This window comes from Homo sapiens, chromosome 1 (assembly GCF_000001405.40).
Source record: "Homo sapiens chromosome 1, GRCh38.p14 Primary Assembly".
NCBI classification, from domain to species: Eukaryota; Metazoa; Chordata; class Mammalia; order Primates; family Hominidae; genus Homo; species Homo sapiens.
Genome location: NC_000001.11, coordinates 57,209,851 through 57,236,101, shown reverse-complemented (window position 1 = coordinate 57,236,101; position 26,251 = coordinate 57,209,851). Strand labels below are relative to the sequence as shown.

The window sequence follows — 26,251 nt, the reverse complement described above, 5'->3', positions numbered from 1 at the left end:
TCGTCTTCTTTCTGTAAAACTCTGGGTGATCACTCAGCATCCAGAGCCAAATACCTTTGAACTCAAGATGTTAAACTAGATATCAGGGTACCACCCCCAAGTATGAGTTAATCATTTTAGGAATAACGTAGGTCAGGAGATAAAGAGACTGCTGCTTTCAATTTCAACCGATATTGCTGACAGGCTCTGTGTATGCTCCTAATGGAGTGGACCATAAATTCTGAGCTATGCAGACTGCAGCAAGGTGGGATGCTCACATTGTGATGCGTCTACATTATTCTTCAAGTTTAATGTTAAGGAGATTAAAATGCAAGCGATTCCTTTGTGCCTACTGTGGTAGATGCAACAGATGTGATTCAACCATATGCAGGAAGCTTGTTTTTTTTTCTTTTTTAAAGTTTTGAATGGAAAACATGGGACTAGAGACAGAGACAGATTTAGATTCAAGCTTTGTCTCTGTTCTCACTTAACCAGGGACACTGAGTAAGTTACTTGAACCTTAAGTTATCTGTAAAATTCAAGTAATAATAATTCTTATCTACCTCTCCACCCACCATGGATAATGTGATGCTTGACAGAGCTGCTACACAATCATTTAAATCGTAATCACTCCAGAGGAAAAGGAGCTAATATATATCAGGCATCTATGAACCAGGCCCTGTGCTAGGCCCATTAGGTACATTATCTCATTTAATCCACATCGCAATCTTCAATAGGCAAATGTTGTCATTACTACAAATAACATCTCTTGTGTCAGACCTATTAGTTTCTGTGTACCTACTATGTATCAGACATAAATTCTCTAAACTAGGTAATAATGTCCCTTATTTTAATTTTGATGATAGAGAGATCTGAGAGGTTAAATCACTTGCCTAGAAGCACACAGAGAATAAGTGGCAAAGTGGGAGTCCAACCGAAATTCAGAGACTCCTCTCACTTACTTTGTTGGACATAACTCTGTGTTAGGCAAAACTTTCCAAATGGCCCCCAAATGGTATTTCCCTCTGATCCCTGAAATCTGTGAATATGATGAGTGATCACGTTATGTTACAGGGCAAAGTTTACCTTAAAATAGGGAGACTATCCAGGTGGTCTTAATCTAATCACGTAGGTCCTTCAAAGCAGAAATGTCTCTGTCCGATGATATAAGAGGACGTCAGAGACATTCAAAGCAAGAGAAAGATTCAATGTGCTGTTGCTGGTTTGAAGATGGAGGGAGTCACTTTAGAAAAAATAGGCTGAGCCCCCAGCACATAGTCAGCAAGGAATGGGGACCTCAGTCCTATAGCTCAGTCCTACAGCTACAAGAAACTGAATTCTGCCAATAGCCTGGATGAACTTAAAAATGGGTTCTTTATCAGAGCCTCCAGGTAAGAGCTAGCCTGGTCAATACCTTGATTTTGGCCTAGTGAGACCCTGAGCATAGAACCTTGTTGAGCCTGCCTGGACTTTTGACCTACAGAGCTATGAAACAATAAATGGGTGTTAAACTACCAAATCTGTGGTGACTGGTTACATGGCAGCAGGAAACTAATACAAATGCTTTATATTAGTTTATATTAGTTATTAATAATAGCAGTTACCTGATAGGGTTATTTTATGGAAAAAATTAAAAACAAAAAAAACTAAAGCACTCAATACAATTATTGACACCTAAAAAATAGTATCTTTTATTTTTATCACCATACTCACTTTATAAATATGGAAATTAAGGCTCCAAAAGGTTAAATAACATGCCCAAGGCCACAGAACCACTGAGAGTCAGGGTGGGAATATTCATGAATTCACCTTGGAATTATCTGTGGAACTTACTAAAATAGGGATTTTCATGTCCTGACCATAATCTTTATGATTCAAATTCTTGGGTAACTATATTTTTTAAAGCCTCATGAATGCTTTTAAAGTACACTCGTGTAGTATTACCACACTAGACTGTGAACTCCTTGAGTCGGGCCATTCTTAATCATATTTGTACAAGCAATAGTACCTGGTTCTTGTGTATACTCTCTGCATGTTCACTGAATGAAACAACATTGAACAGTATTCTTTCTGTAGTTTTTAAAAATAATATCCTTCCAATGGATTGCACAACACCATTAACCTTGGAGTGGTTGTTAGTTAATATGGTTTTCTACCTCTCTTCTAAATTGACCCGTTTTGGCAGCTGGCAATGTAAGCCCTACATTCATGATAACTGACAGCTTTCAGTTTATGAATCAGCTCCCAGTGCCCTACCTCCCCACTCACCTCCAAGTATATAGTTTCTCTTTCCTTTCTCAGTTTGCAGAGGAAGCCGTACCACTCACCTGGCAGCAGGTTTATTTTTTTATTTTTATTTTTTTTGAGACAGAGGCTCGCTCTGTCGCCCAGGCTGGAGTGCAGTGGCACGATCTCGGCTCACTGAAACTTCCGCCTCCCAGGTTCAAGCAATTCCCCTGCCTCAGCCTCCTGAGTAGCTGGGATTACAGGTGCCCGCCACCACGCCTAGCTAATATTTGTATTTTTAGTAGAGACGGGGTTTCACCATGTTGGTCAGGCCGGTCTCGAACCCCTGACCTCGTGATCCACCTGCCTCGGGCTCCCAAAGTGCTGGGATTACAGGTGTGAGCCACCGCACCTGGCCTGCAGCAGGTTTAAAATAAGTTTGTTAAGAATCGGAGCAAAGCAAAAAATTAGCCAGGCGTAATGGCGGGCGCCTGTAGTCCCAGCTACTTGGGAGGCTGAGGCAGGAGAATGGCGTGAACCCGGGAGGCGGAGCTTGCAGTGAGCCGAGATCCCGCCACTGCACTCCAGCCTGGGCGACAGAGCGAGACTCCGTCTCAAAAAAAAAAAAAAAAAAAAAAAAAGAATCGGAGCAAAGCTTGAAGCTGCATTGCTGAGATGGGTGAATCCTTCCTGAAAGGACAGAGCTGCTGGAGGAAGGCAGATAAAAAGCAGTGAATTCCAAGTGGGATCCCAACTTGGAAGCGTGGCACTTGGTTTTCCTTTTTAGTCTTAGCAGTGGATGCCAGAGTCTTTCCGGTTTTCCTACTCAGCTTTATTTTTAAAAACAGTTTCCCTTTCTCAGGACAGCCTACACAGTTCTACTAATAACATATCATGCAATGAAAACCTTCAAGGAGGGAAAGGAAGGTGACTGAAGTTCCTCATAAGGATCAGCTGCCTGCTGAACATTTTACTGGACATGGTCATACCAATGACAATCCCATTCTAAAAAATTTATATGGCACTTGCTGTCTTTCCAAAGAAATTTTACTACACTGTCAAATTAGTTTCCATTGCTTGTGGTGGAGCTGCTGACAATGGAATTGAGGTCTAAAAGTCTCCATTCCCCAAATGCCAGGCCTTTTGAAATGTCTCTGCTTTCATGGTGCCTAATAAATGTCAGCTCACATGTTGCTCTTCAGATGGGCGCCATCTGGTGTATTGGAAAGAGCTTTGGATTGAGAGATGGGAGGGAAATTACCATTTACTAGCTGTTTGACTTCTGGGTCTCGGTTTTCTCCCTAAAACTGGGAAGAGTGCATTTAAATAATCTCTAAGATACATTTAGTCTGTTAGAGCTCAAAAGTGTGTTAGAGAACGTAAGTTTCATGAGGCAGGAGGAACCATCTCTCTTGCTCATTTTTGTATTCCCGTTGTCTAGCAGAATATCCTTCAGGTAGTAGTTGCATAGTAAATATATGTTGAATAAATGACTGATTGAATGAATAAATACATGAATATCTATGAAGCTAATACAGAAATCATCACCATGTATTACTGACTTTCCTGTCTATTTCAATGAGGTTCGTGCAAAAAAAAAAAAAAAAAAAAAGTGGCCACTGCCTTTGAGAAGTGGTATGGTGGTGCAGGAATAATAATGGGTTTATTGCTCTTGGCCTTGTCAGAGCCCTAGACAATTAGTCTCCTTATTGGTCTTGCATGTCATATAAAAACCTAAAGTATAGGCCATTCCCTGAATCACATGTCTTAATAGGGCATGGGCGGCAGTGGCCACGAAAGGTGGGAAGAGAGCCTAGAACCCAGAGGCTTACCTGAAGCCTCAGGTTTAAGCTACCAAGAGTTGAAATCTGGGGAGGTCAGCCCAGGCAGAGTAGAGAGGCTGCACAGGTCTCCACAAATGGAGTACAGAGTCACTAAGTCTGACCCTCAGGGGAAGCAGCAAAAAGATAGCGGGCTAGAAATCTGATATCAGAAAAGAGGCTGGATGAGTCAGAAACAGATATGCTTCACTTCTAGAGTCCCATGCTTGAGGGTCTTTATCCTAAAAGTACCTATTTGCCTGCCCTTTCCCCAAATATACTTCCTTCTGCACATTGGGTGACACAGATTAGTAGAGAGAAAAAAGGTTTTAGAATTAAAAGAAAGTGAACTTGAAAGCTGATACCATCACTTACTACTTCTATACTTTTGAAGGATGATTTATCTCTAAGTAACAGTTTCTCCATCTTTAATATGCAGTTAATAATAGTCCCTTCTTCATAGTGTTCTGAGGACTGGATCAGGTGATATATGTAAAGCGCTTAGCTCTGTGTCTGGCATACAGCATGTAATCAGTAAGCACTTGTTTTCTTTTCTCTTTTTCATTCCTACTCATTCATTAAATATTCATTGAACACCCAGAGTTTGATAGGTACTGTATTTGATAGAGGGTGTACAGACATGAAAGAGACGGTCTCATGAAGCTCAGAGTGGAATGGAAGAAGTAGATACGTAGCAGATGAAAAACCAGTAAGTAACAATACAGTATAGTTATATCTGTATTAGAAATATAAATGTATTAACTATGGATACCCAGAAGAAGAAATTCCCAGCCTTGTCTTGGAGAGTGAGAAGGTATTCAGTGTACTGTAGCTCAAGTATTTTGAAGATACTTATGCTCAATCTAATTTTGGGAAAGAATGTTCTCTAATATTTTGTATATGTGGGCTTCGCTTTTATAATTTTTTAATTTTACATTTTAGATATAGAAATCAGGAATGCTTGGTTGATGATCTATTGAAAATAGCAACAAGGTTGCCTATATATCAATTGTGTGTCAGCTGATGGTAATAATATCTAACATTTATTGCAACTATTAATAATACTAATAATTATTAATTCATCTTCAATATGTGACAAGCATTTTTCTACTCACTTTTGTTCATTATCTCAGTTAATCCTCCCCAGATTCTCATAACATAGATACTTGTGTTATTCCTAGTTTACAATGTAGGAAACTGGAATTTGGAGAAGTTAAGTGACTTCACGAAGTTACCAGTTAATAATTTGCAGTAGCAAAATAATAGTTAATAATTTATTATATATTTCAAAATAGCTAGAAGAGAAGAATTGTAATGTTCCAAACACAAAGATAAATATTTGAGGTGATATATATTCCAGTTTCCCTGATTTGATCATTACACATTATATATATGTGTCAAAATATCACATGTACCCTCAAAATATGTAAAGCTATGACATATCAATAAAAAATACAAAGAAAATCACAAAGTTGTGACATGAACCGTGGTTTGTCTGGCTTCAAAGCTCATGTTTACGTTCACTTCAGAAATCTTTTTTTAGTAAAGAGAAATAGCATGTTTGGGTTTGTTAACAGCAAATCCAAAATAGAAAATGAGAAATTATGTTTGTTTGTTACTATATAACCACTTAATTTTAGTAATTCTATTTCCTTATCATAATGACATTTTTTTTGAAAATCTGATAAGTACGTTTGATAGCTTGTCATTTAATTCATTTAACATCTTTAGCAGCTGTTTTTTTTTTTTTTTTTTTCTCTGAAGGGGTGGTAGTTGTAATCTTCAGGGAAAATTTTTCTTTTTTGCACATCGCCAATGTTGAAAGCAAAACAAATGGTTAAAGCAATCTCTGAATGGTAGCTTACACAATTTCAGAGTAGTTGTTAGCTTGCATAAGAAGTCAGAATGAGAGTTAAAGAGCTCAATTTTAACTTGCTAGAGAAATCATCTGTAATCACAAGAAAGACTATGTGGGTGTTCATTGAGTTCAGAACTGAAATTTGAAAGGCTATGCAATCACCATATATTTTTCATGGGTTCTGAAGGAGAAATATATGCTTCAATAAACAAGTCTTGATTACAAAGACCAAATAAGGAAGCTGAGAACTCCATTACTCTTCAACAGTAGCCAGTATCTTGCATATTTCCCTACTGTTGATTGGGGAGATGGACTTAGGAAATCATGTCAGAAACCCTCATTTCAGACAGAGGTCAACTGAGAGACTTTTCTTTAACATGAGGTGACCTCACATGGGAAACAGGCAAATTCAACTCTTCCAACAATGAAAGTAACAATGTGTTTCCTTTTGCTTGGAAGCAGAAATATAATTTTGGGACAATTCAAATGGCCATATAGTCCTACAGATGGCCACCAGAATGTTGAAAAAGTCTCACTTGCAAACCAGTAAAATCATTCTGATGTTTTATTGTTGCTTTTTAATTATAAATAATTCAAGCATACAGATGATTATAGAGAATAATACGATAAACATCAGTACAGTCACTATCCAGTTTTGGCAAAGCTTGAAATTTTACCTTATTTGCTTCAGATTTTTTTTTTCTTTAATAAGTAAAATATTATAGGCCGGGCGCAGTGGCTCACGTCTGTAATCCCAGCCTTTTGGGAGGCTGAGGCAGGCAGATTGCTTGAGCCCAGGAGTTTGAGACCAGCCTGAGCAACATAGTAAAATGCCACTTCAACAAAATACAAAACAATTAGCTGGGCATAGTGGTGCACACCTATAGTCCCAGCTACTCTGGCGGCTGAGATGGGAGGATAGCTTGAGCCCTGGGAGGTCGAGGTTGCAGTGAGCCACGATCATATCATTGCACTCCAGCCTGCATGACACAGTGAGAGCCTGTTTAAAAAAAAAAAAAAAAGAAGAAGAAGTGAAAAATATTACAGACACCAGTAAAGCCCTCTGTAGTTCTACTTTTGTTTAAGTGGAAAACAGTATTTTGAGTTTTGTGTTTAATGTTTCTAAGAGGGTTTCTAAAAAACTTTTATTGCATATTATGTACCTAAAATGAAATGTACTTTAGGTGATAAGTATTTTGGAACTTTATAAAAATGGATTCACACTGAACATAGACATATCTTTCTACTTTTTGGCTCAACATTTTCTGTGAGATTTATTCATGCTGATATAAGTAGTTCCATTCATGTTGATGTAAGTAGTTTATTCAACTGCTATATAGAATTCTATTAAATGAATATAACTATTTTATCTACCGAGTCTTCTGTTTACGAGACTTTAGGTAGTTTACAATATGGGGCTTTTAAAAAAAACTTTAATAACTATTCTATCCTTTGGCCTCATGTGAGAGGATATTACAAGGTGAATATCTAGTAACAGATTGCTGGATCTTACTATGTATATGCATCTTCAGTTTTACTAGATATTGCCAAATTATATTTTAAAGTGGATTTTCCAATCCATATAACCCACCAGCAGGGTATGAGTGTTTCCTACGCTCCATGTAAAAAGCAATAATTAAATCATTTAGTATTGTCACACATTTTAGTTTTTGCCAAACTGATGGGTAAAGAATGATTCCTCATCTTTGTTTTAATTTGCATTTCCCTGAATACATCTGAGGTTAGGTTATTTTCATGTTTATTGGTCATTCAGGTTTTCTCTTCTAAATTTTATCTTTATATCTTTCATCCTATATTTGCATTCTTTTTCTTACTGATGTGTTTTTTTGAGTGTATTCTATATACACATATTTTTGGTACCATCATAAATTTTGTCGTTGCAAATGAAATCATAGATTCAGTGCAATCCAGGTCAAAATTCTAACGTGTGTGGGTGTGTTTGTGTGTATAACTTGACAGATTATAAAATGGATACCAAAGTGCAGGCATCCAAGAATAGTGAAGACTATTTCAAAGGAGAACAAAGTTGCAGATATCATATGCCCAGATATTAAGGCTTATTGAGCAGGTACTGTGTTCCAGGCCCTATTATAGGCACTTCAGTCTGTTGATAGAGGAAAAGGTTAATGTATGGTGAAATGTTTGAAGCATTCCCTTTGATGCCTCAGGAACAACAACTATGGCTGCATCTATTTCAGGTTACACGGCAGACCATAACTAATGCCTCTAACTTAACCATTCACCATTAGATATGTTTACTCCTTCCACTCGCCCATAAGTTATTCCCCTAAGTTATGCCCTCTTGCTCTTGCTTCAGTGCATCAGGAAGATCCTGCCTATTGGCTGGGCACAGTGGCTCACGCCTGTAACCCTAGCACTTTGGGAGGACGAGGCAGGAGGATAGCTTGAGTCCAGGAGTTCAAGATCAGCCTGGCAACATGGTGAAACCCCATCTCTACAAAAAAATACAAAAATTAGCTCAGTGTAATGGTGCACACCTGTAGTCCCAGTTACTAGGGACGCTGAAGTGGAAGGCTCGCTTGAGCCTGGGAGGTGGAGGTTGCAGTGAACCGAGATCATGCCACTGCCCTCCAGCCTGGGTGACAGAGGGAGACTCTTATTTCAACAAAACCAAACACACACACACACACACACACACACACACACACACACACACAAAAGAAAAAAAATCCTGCCTCCACTTCTTTCCCTAGTCATTCTCTGTTGCTCCTTATCTATTTACCCAGCTTTATTACTCTTTAAAGCTTAACACATGGACATTATCTATTTTGTTTTACTGTGTCTCTCTCTCTCATTAGACTATAAGCTCTGTAATGATAGTCTTTAGTCTTCATTGCTGGATCCCCAGTCCTAGAATACTGCCAGGCATAGAACAGATTCTCAAACAATATTTGTTGAATGAATTCATGAATTGAGTCTATACTTTTAAAATCTTGTCAGGGTGAAGTAATATATTTCAATTCCACTAAGGCTTAGGATACAAATGTTTCCTGGATTGATTGATTGATTATTTGATCACTGTCACCCATGCTGGAGTGCAGTGGTGCAATCACAGCTCACTGCAGACTTGACCTCCTGGGCTCAAGTGATCCTCCCCCCTTTGCCTCCAAGTAGCTGGGACTACAGGCACATGCTACTACACATGGCAATTTTTTTTTTTTTTGAGAGATGGTGTCTCACTATGTTGCCCAGGCTAGTCTTGAACTCCTGGGCTCAAGAAATCCTCCTGCCACAGCCTCCCAAAGTGCTGGGTTTACAGGCATAAGCCACTGCACCAGGCCCATTTATTGGATTTAAAGAATGAAATGGTTTCATGGCAGGATGGGTGATAATTTAGAGTATGGGCTTTGGATTCAAATGGCGTCAGGTTTAAATCTTAAATCATCCTTGTTCCACTGCTGATTACTAATTACCACTTCTTGAGGGTATGACTGTTTACTTAACCTTTCTCAGCCTGTTTCCTCACTTCTAAACACTGATATATATATATATATATATATATATTTTTTTTTTAACCACTTTTGAGTGACAGGATCTGACTTGCTTTTTGAAGGGCTCACTCTTGTTTTTAGGTTGAAGATCACTTATTGGGAAGGGAATGCAAATAGAAAATACTGAAGATGCAAATGGCTCAGACCAAAGAGGAAGTGGTGGAGGGGCTGAGAAGCATCAGATTCTGCCTAGATTTTAAAGATAGAGCCTATGGAGCTTAGCAGGAGTTTGGATTTGGCATATGAGAGAACAGTGATTGAGAATGTCTCCAAGGGCTTGGGGCTGAGAAACTGGGAAGGATGGAGTTGCCACTAACTGAAATGAGAAACGTGGAAGGAAGAGAAAATTGGGAGGATGTTAGTTTGGGCATTAAGTTTGACAGATGAATTAGACGCCCAAGCATAATTGTCCAGTAGACAGTTCAATAAAGGAATCTAGAATTCAGGGGAGAGGTCTCTGCTAGCGATAAGCATTTAAGAGATTACATCATGTAGATGGTATTAAAGCCCATTAGAATGGATGATGTACTTAAATATTGAGCTTGGGAAGAGAAGAGAAGAACTTTGAGATCTGAGTTTTGAGGGATCTCAACATTTAGATGAAGAGGAACCAGTGAAAGGGACTGAGAAGGAGTGAGCATTGAGGGAGAAGAAGTCTAGGAGAATGAGAGGCCAAGAGGAGAGGTGTTTCAAGGAGGCAGGAGTGATTGGCTGCACCCATTGTTGTGGGAATGTCAAATAAGATGACAACCAGAATGGAACAATATTAGGTGATATGTAAATTTTTTTACATTATTATTAAAAGTTAATGATGTAGTAGAGCTTGACTCAGCAAACTTCTGAAAAACCATTTTATAAAAAAAACAAAAACAAAAACATCACTACCTCCATGGTAATGTCTAAAATGTTAATGCCCCATGCTTTTCATAGAGGGTTGATTTACAGCTAGACACACTTGAATTAACTATCAATTAGCTTTGCTTTTTAGGAATGTATCTCTATCACTCTGTCTGTACAGTAATACATTGCAATCTTGTATCATACCCATTATGACTTTATATTGAATTTATCTGTTGTCATCTCTTACCGTACACCGTGAGCTTCTTGAGAGCAGGGACTGTGGCTGCTATCCTCAAAAAAGCTGTATTGAGCAGAACTGAAGTCAGATAGGCCTGGTTGTGATGTATGCTGTGTCTTTGGTGGCATGGGTGGGTGGTGAAAGGTGGAATTTGTGATTACATTTCAGTACCAATTCTTCAGCACCGTTCTCTGACACTACTGAATTGTGTCCTTCAATTCAGTTCAATTCAGTCTAGTCCAATTCAGTCCAATCTGACATTACACAGGTTAAGCACAGACCCCACAACTTAAGGATTTAGTTCTACAAGACTGTCCCCACTCCAGACCCCAGTGACAAGTCTTGTGTATCACAAAACTACCTGCACTTCTACCCAGCTGACTACAAATTTGTGAGTTCCCATGACCCCATTCTGATTGTAGAATTCCCTGGAATGACTCACAGAACTCAGGAAAGTGCCACACTTAGATTGTGGTTCCTTTTATCACAAAGGATACAAATGAACAGCCCAGGAAAAGATACACAGAGTGGCAAGATCTTGGGTGGGTGGGCCACAGTAGCCTCTTCTGTCCCTAGGTGTCCTTGATATGTTAACCATCCAAGAAGCTCCTGGAACCTCATTGTCCTGAGTTTTTTTAATACAAGAGATTTGTTTGTTTGTTTTTGTTTTAATGTAGGCCCACTGATTAAATCTTTTGACCACATGATTGAACTGAATCTCCTCAGAGGTCTGGGGGCCTGGCTGAAAGTTCCAATCCTTTAATCACAGGGTTGGTCTTTCTGGTAACCAGCTCCCATCCTGAAGCTCTCTCAGGGCCCTGCCAAGAGTCACTTCATTAGCGTAACAAAGACACTCCTATCAATGGGGGAATCCCAAGAGATTTGGAAGCTCTATGCCAGGAACAAGGGACAAAAATCAAATTTCTTAAAATTATGCCACAGTGATTACGTTAACCAGGATGAAGGGAAATAATTGAGCTCCAGACCTTCCCCAAAGGGAGATGCTGTTCAGAGGAACACAGAAACTTTGATATGACCCATCCTGGCATTGACTCAAAGTAGCCTTGGCTGTTGGATGGGGCATGGGAAAGAACAGACTGGTTAGAGAGCAGCATCTTGGCTCAGTCAGGATGGTTCTTCCTCTTGAAGAAAGCCTTCTACCAATGCTAAAAGTGGGATGAGAGATAGGCTGATCCTATTCTCTAGACAGAGGGGTTGATGCGTTGTATCTGGTGGGCTACAGTCAAGGATGGCCATAATTCCATCAGAACTCAGGTGGTGATCAGGGGAGACATTGGGTGAGATTAAGGAAAATGAGATTAATTAAGGGCTCAAATCATGGCCTACTGTACCAGGTTCTTTACACATAACCACAACAGTCCTTTGAGGTAGTGATTCGGTTTTCACCCACATATGCTTGTTGAGCCACTGTTGTGTTCCATACACTATATTAGGCACTGAGAATAAGCCTGTGAGTAAGCCTGATATGGTGCCTGCCAGTTAAGGAGCTCTTAGTCTACTTGAGGATAATTACAAACTAGCAATAGCAGTGTAAAGTTCTAAGTGCAAGGCAGGGTGTTTTGGAAGGGCAACAAAGGAATCGGAGGGGGAGTACCTCACATAAAATCATTTAGCTAGTAAGGGCTGGACCCAGGAATTGAACCCAGTTTTTTCTGACTCCAAAGCCAGTTTTCCCCATGATATCACACTGTCCAGCCTGCAGAAGCAAGGTGTCAGGAAGGAGAGAGGCTGTGTAGCACAGCTCACCATCCCCTGAGGCTGTGGCAGCAGGACCAGCTCAGGCCCTGCCCATTGGTGGGTCATGATTGGCATATTGACCACCTGAGTTTGGGGGTGTTTATTGAAGGGTTCCTATGTTGGCTGCCAAGTAGGGCTGCTGTCTGCGAATCCACTAAAGATGTTTCGGGTTGGTTCTGCCATACTGCAAGGTGTTCGTACAGCATCTTCCTGCTTCCACCTAGTGCCTGCCCAGGGATCATATCCTTGTTTGGGCGTGGCTTCCATCCACTCAGTTAAAAAGAACTGCTGTCTCTTTCTACTTAATGATGTACGTAGCTCTGCTGAGCATAGGGACCAGAGACACGGCTGCAGTCTGGTCACTGGTAGTTCAAAGGGGAGGTGGCAGACATGAAATGACAGCAGGATTCTCTCAGTTTCTAAGCCAGCGAGGTAAGTTTTCAACTCTAGAACTCTAGAAGGGAGGACTTGGGCTGCATACCCCTGGACCAAAGTTGTGGACCAAAGCATTCCCATTGCCACACAAAGCACCCTCTTCTTTTAAAAATAAAATAGATGTGCTACGCTTCTGGAAAGCTCCACTTTCCTGAATGATGTTAATTCCCCTCAGTTTCTTGGTCCCTCCCCTCTCCTGGTTTTCTAACAAATGACCACATTGATCATACATCTGAATAGCACTTGCCTTTGGTTTCTGAAGAACTGAAGGAGGAGAGGCATTTTGGCGGCAAAAGGAAGTTATGAAAGAGCCCTACATGTCAGCTGGTGGAGATCTTCTGCAGGAGCATTCAGAGAAAGGACAGGAGAAGTGTCAGCCTGCTGGAAGGAACTCTGCAGGGCTCAATGGGGAAGCCAGGCAAGGTGCCCTAATGACCCAGGAGGCGTGTGATGTGGTGCAGCTGTTTCCAGATTCAGTGTGTTACAATTCACTGGTATTAATGATAAAGTATGAACAAGTGCAAATTATTTACTTTGTAAGAAAAGTTAAACTGGATATAGGATTATTCCTATCATAACTCCCATGAAGACATGATTCCTTCATTTCGTAAATGGGGGAAATAAGGAATGGAGTTACAACCAACATGCACAATTGAGCACAATTATACCTATCCCTATGACAATGGGTCTCGTGTATGTATGTTTTCTCCATGTGAGTCTATAGAAAGACAGTATGTGAACCTGTACTGTAGTGAATCAGGTCCAGATTCCCTGGCATTGTGAACAAGGCCCAGCCTGGCTCACCCTCTCTGGGTGTATCCATTACAAGAGCTTTCTCCCCATTTCTCCCTAAGCATGCTGGCCACTAAACTGGCAGTGCCCCAAGCCTACTCAGCTCATCTACTTCTGAACTGTGTTACTCAAAGCTCCTTCCACCCCAGCCCCCTGTTCTCTTGGAGTCCTGAGCTCAGCTGAGCCTCCCTGGAAGCTGTCTCAACAGCCATCTCCCTGACTTATTATTGCTCCCATGTTTCCTCTATAACAACACTTAGGACTTCTATATTGTCCACCACACTAAAGCACCTCAGGATAGGACCAGAAGTTTCTGTCATTGTATTTCTGTAAATGTATTTTCTGTTCATGTATTTTGAAGGAGCAAGGAAGGAAGGAAAGGAAAAAGGAAAGAAAGACTAAAGGACAGACTATGCCCTTGGGTTCCATTGTAGCTTTTCTGTAGCTTGACCTCAAGCAAGTTTCTTTACCTCTCGACCCTTTGTTTCTTCTGCTAGAAAAGAAAAAAAAGGAACAATAACAACAATAATAATATTTTTCTCACTGAATTTTTGCAAAGATCTAATGAGAAAATATTTGTAAAGGGCGTAACAGTGCCTGGCCCTTGGAAAGCAGTAAATAAATGCTAGTTTCTGGCCAGTTTCTCCTAAATGGTTACTTTGGGCAAATAAAAATAAAAAGTAACACATGAAAAGAACCAGGGACAATAATCTATAAAGCAAAAAAAAAAAAATGACATTTAACTACTGGCCATTTTAGGATAGAACATTTCTGTTATTTAAATATGAAGCAGAGGGTAATGTTGCAGTTAGGAGATGTCTTGGGGCATTTTGCAATAGGAACAGAAAAAATGGATATTTTTTGTTTACCCTTCTCTGAGAAAATGAACCACAAATGTCTGTCTTTCTCAAGGCCAAAGTAGGGAGAGTGTGACTGCTGAAAGTACAGACTGAGTATCCTCATGATGTTATTCTCAAAGGCCTTACTAATTCAGGAGGGAAGGACACAGGAATTATGGTCTCTAGAAGTCATGCATCCAAGCCCCATATGTGCTAGGCAGTTCAATTCCAGAGTATCATAGTTTTGTGAAAATAGTATTTTGTAACGTTTTGTGAAAATAGATTTGGGTAAAAGAAATGTCGCTATCAGGTGACCTTAAGCATGTCTTTTTTTTTTTTTGTAATGCCACATATGGTCATACCGTGTTAGCCTTTTTTAAAATTATTATTATACTTTAAGTTCTAGGGTACATGTGCACAACGTGCAAGTTTGTTACATATGTATACATGTGCCAAGTTGGTGTGCTGCACCCATTAACTCGTCATTTACATTAGGTATATCTCCTAATGCTATCCCTCCCCCATCCCCCCACCCCACAATAGGCCCCAGTGTGTGATGTTCCCCTTCCTGTGTCCAAGTGTTCTCACTGTTCAATTCCCACCTATGAGTGAGAACAGGTGGTGTTTGAATTTTTGTCCCTGCAATAGTTTGCTGAGAGTGATGGTTTCCAGCTTCATCCATGTCTCTACAAAGGACATGAACTCATCCTTTTTTATGGCTGCATAGTATTCCATGGTATATATGTGCCACATTTTCTTAATCCAGTCTATCACTGATGGACATTTGGGTTGGTTCCAAGTCTTTACTATTGTGAATAGTGCCACAATAAACATACGTGTGCATGTGTCTTTATAGCAGCATGATTTATAATCCTTTGGGTATATACCCAGTAATGGGATGGCTGGGTCAAATGGTATTTCTAGTTCTAGATCCTTGAGGAATCGCCACACTGTCTTCCACGATGGTTGAACCAGTTTACAGTCCCACCAACAGTTTTGTTCTTATTTCTCCACATCCTCTCCAGCACCTGTTGTTTCCTGACTTTTTAATGATCGCCATTCTAACTGGTGTGAGATGGTATCTCATTGTGGTTTTGATTTGCATTTCTCTGACGATCAGTGATGATGAGCATTTTCTCATGTGTCTGTTGGCTGCATAAATGTCTTCTTTTGAGAAGTGTCTGTTCATATCCTTTGCCCACTTTTTGATGGGGAGCATGTGTTATAACTTCTCTAAGGCTCTGTTTCCCTGGTTGTACAATGGATATGCTAATAATACCTGCTATTAGAAGACTGATAAAAGGACCACAGGTTATGATGGATAGGAAGTCTTATGTGAAATCTGCAAGTAGTACTAATGTTAATTATGGTTATGGTTGTTACCATCCAGGTCTCCATTTCAAACCTCACCCCACCAAGCCCTCCTGGGAATTGTTTTACATTGCATGATGAAACGATGCAGCTGAATGATTTTAGCTCAGAGCATACTCTCTATGGGTATGTTCCACTAGTGTCCTTGGAAAGATCCTCCTGGCTTTCCAGACAGATTATAGCAAGATGACCACCAGCCAAATGAACCCCTCAAAGGACTTTTGAAACTGCAAAGCCTACCATGTCACATTCTTCCCAGTGCTTTTGGGGCCTGAAAAACATAAATTATTACTGACAGCCTTGAATCAGGGCCAGTACAGTTCACCCTGGAGCATTTATTCTTTACATTTATGTGCAGACAACCATTCTAGGCCTTGTGAGATCTTCCCTCAAGAAGCTTGTAGTCTAATGTATTAGTTAGCTACTGCTGTATAGCTAATTACCACAGACTTAGTGGCTTTAAACAGCACACATTTATTATCTGACAGTTTCCATGGGTCAGGGGTCTCGGCCCAGCTTTGCAGGGTCCTCTGCTCAGGGGTCTCTCAATGCTGCCTTTCTTTCCGGATTCTGGGCTGTGTTCATTTTGTGGAGCTTGGGATCCTCTTCCAAGTGCATATGGTTGCTGGCAGAATTTAGTTCTTGTGGTTGCAGGACTGAGGTCCCTGTTTTCTTGCTGACTACCATCCAGGGCTTGAACTGAGCTCCTAGAAGTCCCCAAATTCTCTGCCACAGGGTCCCCTCACACACCTTCTCACAAGGCACCTTCAGTAGGAGAATCTGTCACTGCAGTCTGCTAAAATGGAGTCTTATATAATTTATGTAATCCTGGAGGTGACCATCCACCATTTTTGCTGATTTCTATTAACTACAAGTGAGTGTCAGGTTCCCCTAGCCCTCAAGGGTGTGGCTCAGTGGGATCACCTTAGGGTGGATCTGCCACATATGGTATGGGAGAGGGATTCTAAATAAATAGATTTGAAAGCACCAATTTGCCTAACCTGAACTGGTCTCATTTGAAATGAGAGAAATAAGAGCAATATCATGGCTTCTAAAGCCATACTGATTGAATGGAAAGGCTATCTTTTATTCTGAGATTTTCCTTCTGGAGTGTTTATGTGTGTGTGTGTGTGTGTGTGTGTGTGTGTTGAAATGCCTCTTTTTAGATGAAATGACTGTGATAGTAGATAATATTTTAAAAACTATTCTTGATTAGTAAAATATAAAGGTAGCAACCCTATAATGGTCACTGTAAGGTATTTATTTTTAATTTCACTAATTCATAAAAATCCAAACTGTATAACTACTAAGGTATTGGCTCCCAATCTACTTTAGAAACAGAGACTATCCTCTATCCATGCGATAGAAAAAGGAATGTTTAGTGTGGTTTGCTTAGATTATTTACAGATCAAGAATGTTTTTGTTAGGCCTTTACCCAGCTTCCAAAGCTTTATCTTCCCCCTGTATAATTCCAGACCAGAGCAGGATGTTCTGCTGTGGCTAGATAAGCCCCTCCCCTCACCGCTGCTGGCCGTCCTCATCTTGACAGAGAGAAATAGGTCTAAGGCCCTGCATCCTTTATCTCACCAAAGCTGCTTTATCCAAGCTGCCCTTTCTCATCTGCCACCTACTTTTGCACCCAGCTCTCTTGAGGACACTTAGTTACTTTTTTTTCTAGTCACTGTGAACACAGAACAGGCTATGGAATGTGCTAAAATATGGATTATGGGAGCATTTATATATGCTCTGTCACCCTGGTTCATGATCATGGCTCATTGCAGCCTAGACCTCCCACGCTCAAGCGATCCTTCCACCTCAGCTTTCTGAGTAGCTGCTGCATCATCACCGCACCTGGCTAATTTTTTTCTGTTTTTTTTTTTTTTTTTTTTTTTTTTTTAGAGATGGGGGTCTCACTATGTTGCTCAGGTTGGCCTCAAACTCCTGAGCCCAAGTGATCCTCCTACCTCAGCTTCCCAAAGTTTGGGATTGCAGATGCGAGCCACCAAACCCTGCTCTGGTTATGAAAGCTTTAGGAAAGAAAAGATAATTCTGCCCAGGATGTTAAACAAAGATTATTTATAAGAGATGTTGTTTGAACTGGGCCTTAAGGTGGGATTTTGAGAGGCCAGTATACTGAAGATGTTGTGGATAGATAAATGCTTTAAACAAGAGGACACACAGCCAGGGAATGCTTTCCCTTTCCTCGGTGCCTTTGCATGTGCTGTGTCTTCTGCCTTCCACGGCTTTCCCAACCTCGTCCGGTTGGTAGATACCATAGTTAACTTTCAAGGCACAACTCAGACGGCTCTTCAAGGAATTCTTCTCTGCATTCCTACAGCATGGTATAATGCAGTATTTTGGTACTTGTCACGTTTCCATAATTATGGGTCTCCCTCATTAGACTGTGAGTTCCTGGAGGCCACTGATTACTGTTTGTGTTTTTTTCCTTGGGACCTAGTAGTATCTGACACCTGTATCCTTGTTTGGATGAATGAAAATGAATGAACGGTGATTACGCCCCTGCAGCTTGAGTAGAAGGTATATAGGGAGGTGTAGCTGGATAGTGGGGTGGGGTGGGGGGATTGGTAGGTGTGATCAGATCTTAGAGTTTAAATGCAAGTTCAATAATTTATTCTTCAGATTGATGGGTCAGTGGATATCCCTGAATGAGACAGTGTCACCATCAGAACTATGAATTAGGGTGAACAGTTTTATCAGGAAAATAAAAAATGACTATTGGCTTTAGTGCATTCTGTGGCCCTGTGGTTCCAGTCACCTAGACTGGAGGTTTTGCCAAATAACTCTTGAGATTTTGGTCACCTTGCTCCATTTACATGGACTTTTTGTGTAAAAGATAGGGATGTGTTTCAGTGATAAGCTTCTCTTTTTTTCAGAGTATTTATTTGTGTTCGTTTTCTTTTTTGGCTTCCTCTAGTTGGAGACTATGATAACACAAATTGGAGGTAGCTCAATGTCATTTTTGGACCGATAAGGACATATAATTCAGGTCCTTCACCTTGCCCAATTCATTCTAGCAAGCTGACTTTCCCTCAGGCCCCATAAGGCTGACCAAGCAATAGAAAAGACCAGACTTTATAATACACTTTGATGCAGAACTTAAAGAACATATTTTTAATTTAAATATCCTTATCTTCAAAGAGTTTGAAGAAGTTGATTAAGATACTAAGCCATTTAAGCACTGTGATAGAGATAATAGGTATTTCAGGAGGAAACTAAGAGTGATCCCATCCCTTCTGAAAGATAATTTATTTTCTTAGGCAGTTCTTTCAATATCGTTATCTGTGCCATCCTGAGAAGGCCAGTTTTGTAGGTCATGAAACTAAGCAAAATCACCCAGGAGGTAAGACCCTGCAGGTGATTGGATGGAAAACTCACCATAATATCAGGACATGAAGTCCCTGGATGGCCCAGTAAATAGCTGTTGAATGAATAAAATTTACACAGCCTGAAATTCTACTAGAGCCTCTCTAGAAAGGAAGTCAGAAAAAGCACTGGTTTTAGAATGAGGAGAACCTGAGTAGAAATCCCAGTCCTGCCTTACGTCAAGTAGTGTAGGTCTATGGGCAGTTTCTAGAATCTTGCTGCTTCCAAGTTCTGTTGTCTGTAAAAATGACAATAAAATATCTTGCAAGGTTACCTTGCAAGGAAATTTATTTAAATGTACCTTTTCAACTACAAAGTGGCATATAAATAAAAGGGATGATTGTAAATATAGTGACTGTGATTATCTTGTACTTTATTATAGGTCTCTCTGAGTATGCGTTTTCTTCTAAACTAGATTACAGTCTCCTTAAGGACATGGACCTGGCTTGCCTCAACCCACAGTGACAATCTTATTTAGAGCCAAAACTGGCAACCTCTCATTTGATAATAACAAGTTTTACTTATAGGGAAACTAAAGGGAATGTTTGAAAATGACATCATCTTGGATATCCAGGGTATACCTATAACTTTTCCCGTACTTTATAGGACCTGGGATAATGCCACAAACTTAATGAGTATCAGTGGAATTATACTTCTTTATGATTATATAAAGGAGTTACTTTAATTGACTACCTGTTGTGCTAAAGGTACCCTGCTGGAAGCCATATGTGCACTTACCCTTATAGCAATTCCAGAGAGGCACATTCACTCCACCTTATAGGTAAGGAGGCCGAAAGGATCAGATAAGGTAAGTAACCTTCCTAAGGCTACACAGCTAATAAACTGAAGAATAAAATCTAAGTCCACATACTAGATTTTTAAAGGCCATGATTTGTCACTGAGTAGCAACTTAAGTGGTCCCAACACACCCATGCAAACCACAGTATTAATGTGTAGAAAGCAAAGAGCAAGCCAAAGACATCTATTTCCAGAATTAATTCTGATTAGTTCCTTCCTGTCTGCCTGCTTTGGTCTGATTCATCTGGTCCTCCAATCAGTTGGGGCCTACTCTTCAGATCCCAGTGGGGTCTCCCACGGAGTCCTTTATGCACATGCTGATCACAAAGAGGAGGCTGTGTCCCCCCAGGCCCTTTCACACACAGCTACTAGTGTAAGCTTGGCCTTTTCCAAATAGGGGCTTTCAGAAATGCATGGACATTCCATAGCACCAGTCTGAATTCATGTCGAAGGAAAAAAGTGGATAAGAAACCAAGTGCCTGCCTAAGTCTAGTTGGGGAGGAATAAAGGAGATGGAGGGAGGCAATTTTTTACTTTCAGTGATCACTGTGTTTCCATTCGAAGTGGGATGACCTTCTAAGAAAGGTTATAGAATCATTATTAAAGATCGTCAGAGCTGACTAGACACTGGATTAATGGGGATTTGGTAGATTTCTATAAAGAGCGCTTGAACACAAAATTCACGGTCCAACACAAAGACGTTTTTTTCAAACTCAAAGACTGTGTGCTCAGAAAGTTTCTGGTTGCAGGGAGTTAATATAGGACATAATTCAGGGTGCAGAATTTTCAGATGAAGCTATCAAGGCTAAGGCTGGCATTCTTGAGTGGCACTTTGTTTCCTCTTCTCCCATGTTCTGAATGCGGTGTCAAATAACGGAAATGGTTTGTTTTAGCAAGTCCTCACAGGGAGCAACTGTTTCTTTTATTAAGCTTCTCCTTGCAGATTCTTCCCTGCTTGCCTTTACTCTGATTTGGAAAACATTGCTTTTTCCCAACACTTTTCACATCAAACTAATATTATGCATTCATCACAGTGAGGGAAGCTGTGAGATTGCAGCTCAGGATCAAACCCCAAATACAACAGTCTCTGTGGGATAACTGGACTCTCACAGGGTGAATTTGAGTCATGAAAGAGCTTTTTGTTAGGTCCTGGGATGTGAACAATATTCAAGTGATTATTTAGTTCATTGTCTCCCAGTCTGGAATCTTACATTTCTCTCCATTCTCAAATTTAATGAATCCTTCAGCAATTTTCACCATGTGTTTTGTTTTGTTTTGTTTTTCTTGCCTTTTTTCTTTCTTTTTTTTTTTTTTTTTTTTGAGAGGGAATCTTGCTCTGTCGCCCAGGCTGGAGTGCAGTGGCGTGATCTCAGCTCACGACAAGCTCCACCTCCTGGGTTCACGCTATTCTCCTGCCTCAGCCTCCTGAGTAGCTGGGACTACAGGTGCCCGCCACCACGTCTGGCTAATATTTTTGTATTTTTAGTAAAGACAGGGTTTCACCATGTTAGCCAGGATGGTCTCGATCTCCTGACCTTGTGATCCACCCACCTTGGCCTCCCAAAGTGCTGGGATTACAGGTGTGAGCCACTGCGCCCGGCTTGTTTTGTTTTTCTAAGGTGAAACAGAAAGTGTGCTCCCTTCCTCTTAGGCTAGGTAGGGCAACAAAAATAGCAATTGCTATTGGGTTACAATTTATCAACTCATTGTGACTATTCTGGATGGCTCTTGCTTATACTGGTTTAAAAAAACTTGAGAAATGAAATTATGATTAGGTAACTGTAGTGTGACAGACAAGAATCTCTCTTCTATTAATCTATTTATGATCCACCTCAAACCAAAGGGCAGTTGAGGGTTGCTGTGATTTGAATGTGTCCCCTCCAAAATTCAGATGTTGCCAATGTGATGGTATTAAGTGGTGGGCCTTTAGGAGGTGATTAGGCCATGAGGACTTCTCCTTCATTAAAGAGAATAAAGCCCTTTTAAAAGAAGCTTTACATAGTTCCACTTTTCACTTTCTGCCATGTGAGGACTCAGCAAGAAGGCCCTAACCAGACACCAAGTCTGCTGGCCCCTTGATCTTGGACTTTCCAAGACTCCAGAACTGTGAGAAACAAATGTCTGTTCTTTATAAATTGTCCTGTCTCAAGTATTTGTTTTAGCAGCACAAAAAGGACTAAGACAAGTGTTTTCTTCAGTGACTGCATTATACTTAATAGATCCCACTGCATTGCAATTACCTTTTGGTATACCTGCTTCCCTGACTACTAAGGGCAAACAGCAAATCTGACTCATGTCTAAGACCCCAGTGCCTAGCATGGGGCTTGCCTAAGTACATGCTTAATGAATCATGGAATTTTATAGGGAAAGAAGACCAGAGAGAGAAAGTGGATTGGGAGGAAGAGATTGGGACAAGAAAATAACAAGCAAGCAAAAGAAAGAGAAAATGGTGAAATATTGAAATGTTCCTGGGTTGGTTGAACTACTTCATTTTATGGTAAAGCAACAGGGTCCGAAAGAGGTTACCTGCCTGTAGGGTGATGCTACCCAAACTTTGTTGTGCAGTTCTGATGTTTTCTTCTTCCTCTCCTTAATTCTTCACCTAAGGAGAAAAAGATGGAGGTAGAAAGAAAACGTGATTATTATGGCAAACTTCCTCTGGGGCCTGGTGGAGCCAGCATTTTGTATGACTGTAGTTTGAGATGAACTGTAGGGAAAGTGTTTTTTGGATCATTCTTTTTCTAGATCTGCCCAGGGCCCAAAGGCCAGGACTCTGTCCACCCTGACCCTATCTCTAGATCTACACTATCTATTTTGGTGGCCGTGAGTGACATGTGGCTGTTGAGCACCAGATGTATGGCTAGATGAAATTGAGATGTGTAGTACATGCAAAATACATGCAGATTTCAATGCCTTAGTACTGAAAAAAGAAAAAGATTGTCAAAAATCTAAGTAATTGTTTATATTGGTTGTATGTTGAAATGATAATAGTTAAGATAGGTTAAAGAAAATACATTAATAGAATCCCACCCCCCATCCCCCATTTCTTTGTACCTTTTAAAATGTGGTCACTAGAACATTTAAAATTCTATCTGTAGCTTGCCTTTTTTCTTTCTTTTTTTTGGACAATGCTGCTTTAGATCACCCAGCTGGGCCCTGGGCAGCACAGTCCACTAGGACCTAGACTCGCCTCCCACTCACTGCACCTTCTGCCTCTATTGTCCTCTAGTCCTTTGCACCATAGCACGCCTCTGTGCAGCCCCCTGCCTGCCACACTTCACTGGCTAGATTCTCAGGCCGTCAGTGTTGCCTTTTCTGTACCTTACAGCTCAGCGCAGGATGGCAGAAGGGTTCTGAGACTGGGGTGACATCCAGCCTTGAGTCCAAACTCTAACACTGATTAGCTTCTTAAACTTGAGAAAGACAGGGCACCTATTTGAATGCTGGGTTCCCTTGGTTTAAAATGAGGTAACAATAAAACCCTACCTATTTCATAGGAAGTTGTCAAGATGAAAATCAAAATGAATTAGTGCATATGAATGTGCTTTGTAAATAATGAAATAAGGCGGGGCGCGGTGGCTCACACCTGTAATCCCAGCACTTTGAGAGGCCGAGGCGGGTGGGTCACGAGGTTAGGAGATCGAGAACATCCTGGCTAACATGGTGAAACCCCATCTCTACTAAAAATACAAAAAGTTAGCCAGGCGTGGTGGCAGCCGTCTGTAGTCCCAGCTACTCCGGAGGCTGAGGCAGGAGAATGGCATGAACCCAGGAGGTGGAGCTTGCAGTGAGCTGAGATCGCGCCACTGCACTCCAGCCTGGGCAATGGAGTGAGACTCTGTGTCAAAAAAAAAAAAAAAAAAAAAAAAAAGGAAATAATATATACATGTAATATTACCAGTAATTATGTTTTAGTTTTTATATCATAATCATTATTGTCTTTATCCAGCCCCTTTCTCTAACCACCTAATCTCGGACCATTTGCTTCTCCTCACTGGGGGTCTGGTCATTCGTAAAACAGGGGGATGGGCTAGGTATCCCTTCAGCTCTGTGACTTCATGGCCAGATACAGAATGCTGCCTTGTAGAGAATATAGGTTTAGGAGGCAGACCACTTAGTGTTAAATCTTACTCACTCTTAAAATTATAGCATGCATGCATTCTCTGGCTCTGCCTGTGTAGAGGTCTATTGTAGCAACAGTTATGGCCACAGTAAAAACAAAATTGCATAAATATATACAGGCATTCCTCAGTATCTTTGGGGGATTGGTTCCAGGATTTCTGTAGATACTGAAATCCACAGATGCCCAAGTCCCTGATATAAAGTGTTGCAGTATTTACACACAACTTATGCACATCTTACCATATTCTTTAAATCATCTCTAGACTACCTGTAATACCTAGTACAATGTAAAGGCTTTATAAATAGTTGCTGTATTATATTTTTATTTGCATTATTGTTATTGTTTTTTACTTTTTCTAAAGTTTTTGGTCTACATTTGGTTGAATCCTCAGATGTGGTACCTGTGATTACAGAGGGCTGACTGTACACAATAAAATCTTAACTTTGTGTAGCCCTTTGGAACTTAGTTTTGACATATAACATTTTTTATTTGATGTTTCCACAACACTGAAGTAAGTATATCCATCATCCCAGTTTGCAGGTAAATAAATGGAGACACAAGGGTTAAGTGGTGTCTCTTGGGTCACCCATCCTTAAAGTGATGATTCAAAGCAAGGATTTGAATGCAGCACCTCTCACTTCCCAGCCCCATACTCTTCCCTATACATCATACCATACCTGTGATAGAATGAGAAGAGAACAGACTTTCTTTGTTAAGTTTGTTACAAAAGTGATACAAGCACTCTACTTGTATCACTTTTAACACCATGGCCTCTGTGTGGCCATATCCCTCAAGATGGTCCTTGGGGTCCCACCAGACCGCAGCAGTTTAGTACTTGGGAGGCTACAGCTGTTTCCTCCAAAAGATCTTCACTGAAGAGCCTTAACGAACTCTGAGTGTTTTCATTGACTTTTCTGATCTTCCAACTCAAGTTAAAAGCATCATTTTGCTTCGCTGTCAGTCAATTTCACTTTTGTGAGAATTTTAAAGATGTATAAGCCCCTAAGGTGACAGTCTCAGCCTGATGCTGTCACACTGAGCTGTGTCATATTGAATTCTGTCACTGAAGAGAAACAAAATGAAATGCACCCAGGTGTAAAATTCCAGGACTTGTTCATTCTTATCAATACCAGATTAGAATGGCAGAGTCTAATATTTTGAAATTGATATGATGAAGATTGATGTTTTAACTTTAATGGGTTGGTAGTAAAATGTATTATTTGTGTATGGATGTATTCATATACATGCATACACATGCATAGGCAGTGAAAACTATTTCATCTGGCCCCGTTTTTAAATTTTTAAAATATTTTCTATTGGTAACTAAACTCAGTACCTGCTACAATGTCAACACCCTCTCTTTTGCCTTCCTTTTGAAACCAAATGAACTCGATTGCAACTACATGGCCTTTTTCATCAAATTTATTGATAAGCCTTTGGATTGAGATGAACTTTTATCTGTGTGTGTGTGTTTAGGTACATTTTTTGTAGTGTTCCTCAAAATGCAGATTATTTTTTGAGACAGTAAGTTGATGAATGAGGCCTTTGGTATACCACTAATGAGACTCAGCAGTCTAGGAGACACGGCCCTTTTATAACATTTACCAAGAAATCACTATGCCTCAATTTCTGTGCCCTCCAACACTGGGATATGTAGGCCCCTGCTGTCTTTACCTACCAGGACACAGGCTGAAATGTTTTATGCATTATTTTTGAGTTTCATCATTTTTCAGCAGAACATTTTATTTTTAAGAATTATATGACAGAAAATTTTTAAATGACTGTTCTATCTTATTGTCCTTTGCAAGTGTGCTTTTGGTTATTTTTAAAAATCATAGCAGTAGACATTATTCTTTAAAATGTTAATGGAAATGTTACATCCCCAAACCATCCAATAATGATGGCTCTAGCAACACAATGCTTATTAATATTAATACTGGTGTTAATGAGAGCAGCTAACATAGGTCAAGATTTTAAGCACCGTTTTAGACATTTTTCTGCCTTCCCATTTAATTGTCATAATAATCCTAGAAGTTAGGCATTATTATCTCAATTTTATTAATGAGGAAACTGAGGCTTAAACAGGTTAAGTCATTTGGCTAAGTAAGGTCACACAGTTTGTAAGAAGCTAAAATGAGATTTCAATTTAGGTCTTTTTAGTCCAAGCCATGTGGCTTTTCTGTAATCATATAAATACCTTTGCCTGTGAAATTTCATTATGTTCCTATTACAGTAGACCAGGTAGGTTGAGAGAGGG

The 26,251-nt window shown here is 40.2% G+C and overlaps 1 protein-coding gene across 11 annotated transcripts in view, besides 1 other annotated feature; it reads left to right on the top strand.

The window, feature by feature from the left end:
• The window catches only part of DAB1 (DAB adaptor protein 1), a 1,551,949-nt gene that overhangs the window by 1,310,625 nt on the left and 215,073 nt on the right, over positions 1–26,251 (top strand). The gene's annotated exons all lie outside the window — the stretch shown is intronic.
• Positions 20,092–20,386: a silencer, noted in NCBI's record as "tiled region #9062; K562 Repressive non-DNase unmatched - State 23:Low". NCBI's record gives its function as "represses a minimal TATA promoter and a strong SV40 promoter by Sharpr-MPRA in K562 cells {active_cell/tissue: K562}" and the evidence as "EXISTENCE:reporter gene assay evidence [ECO:0000049][PMID:27701403]".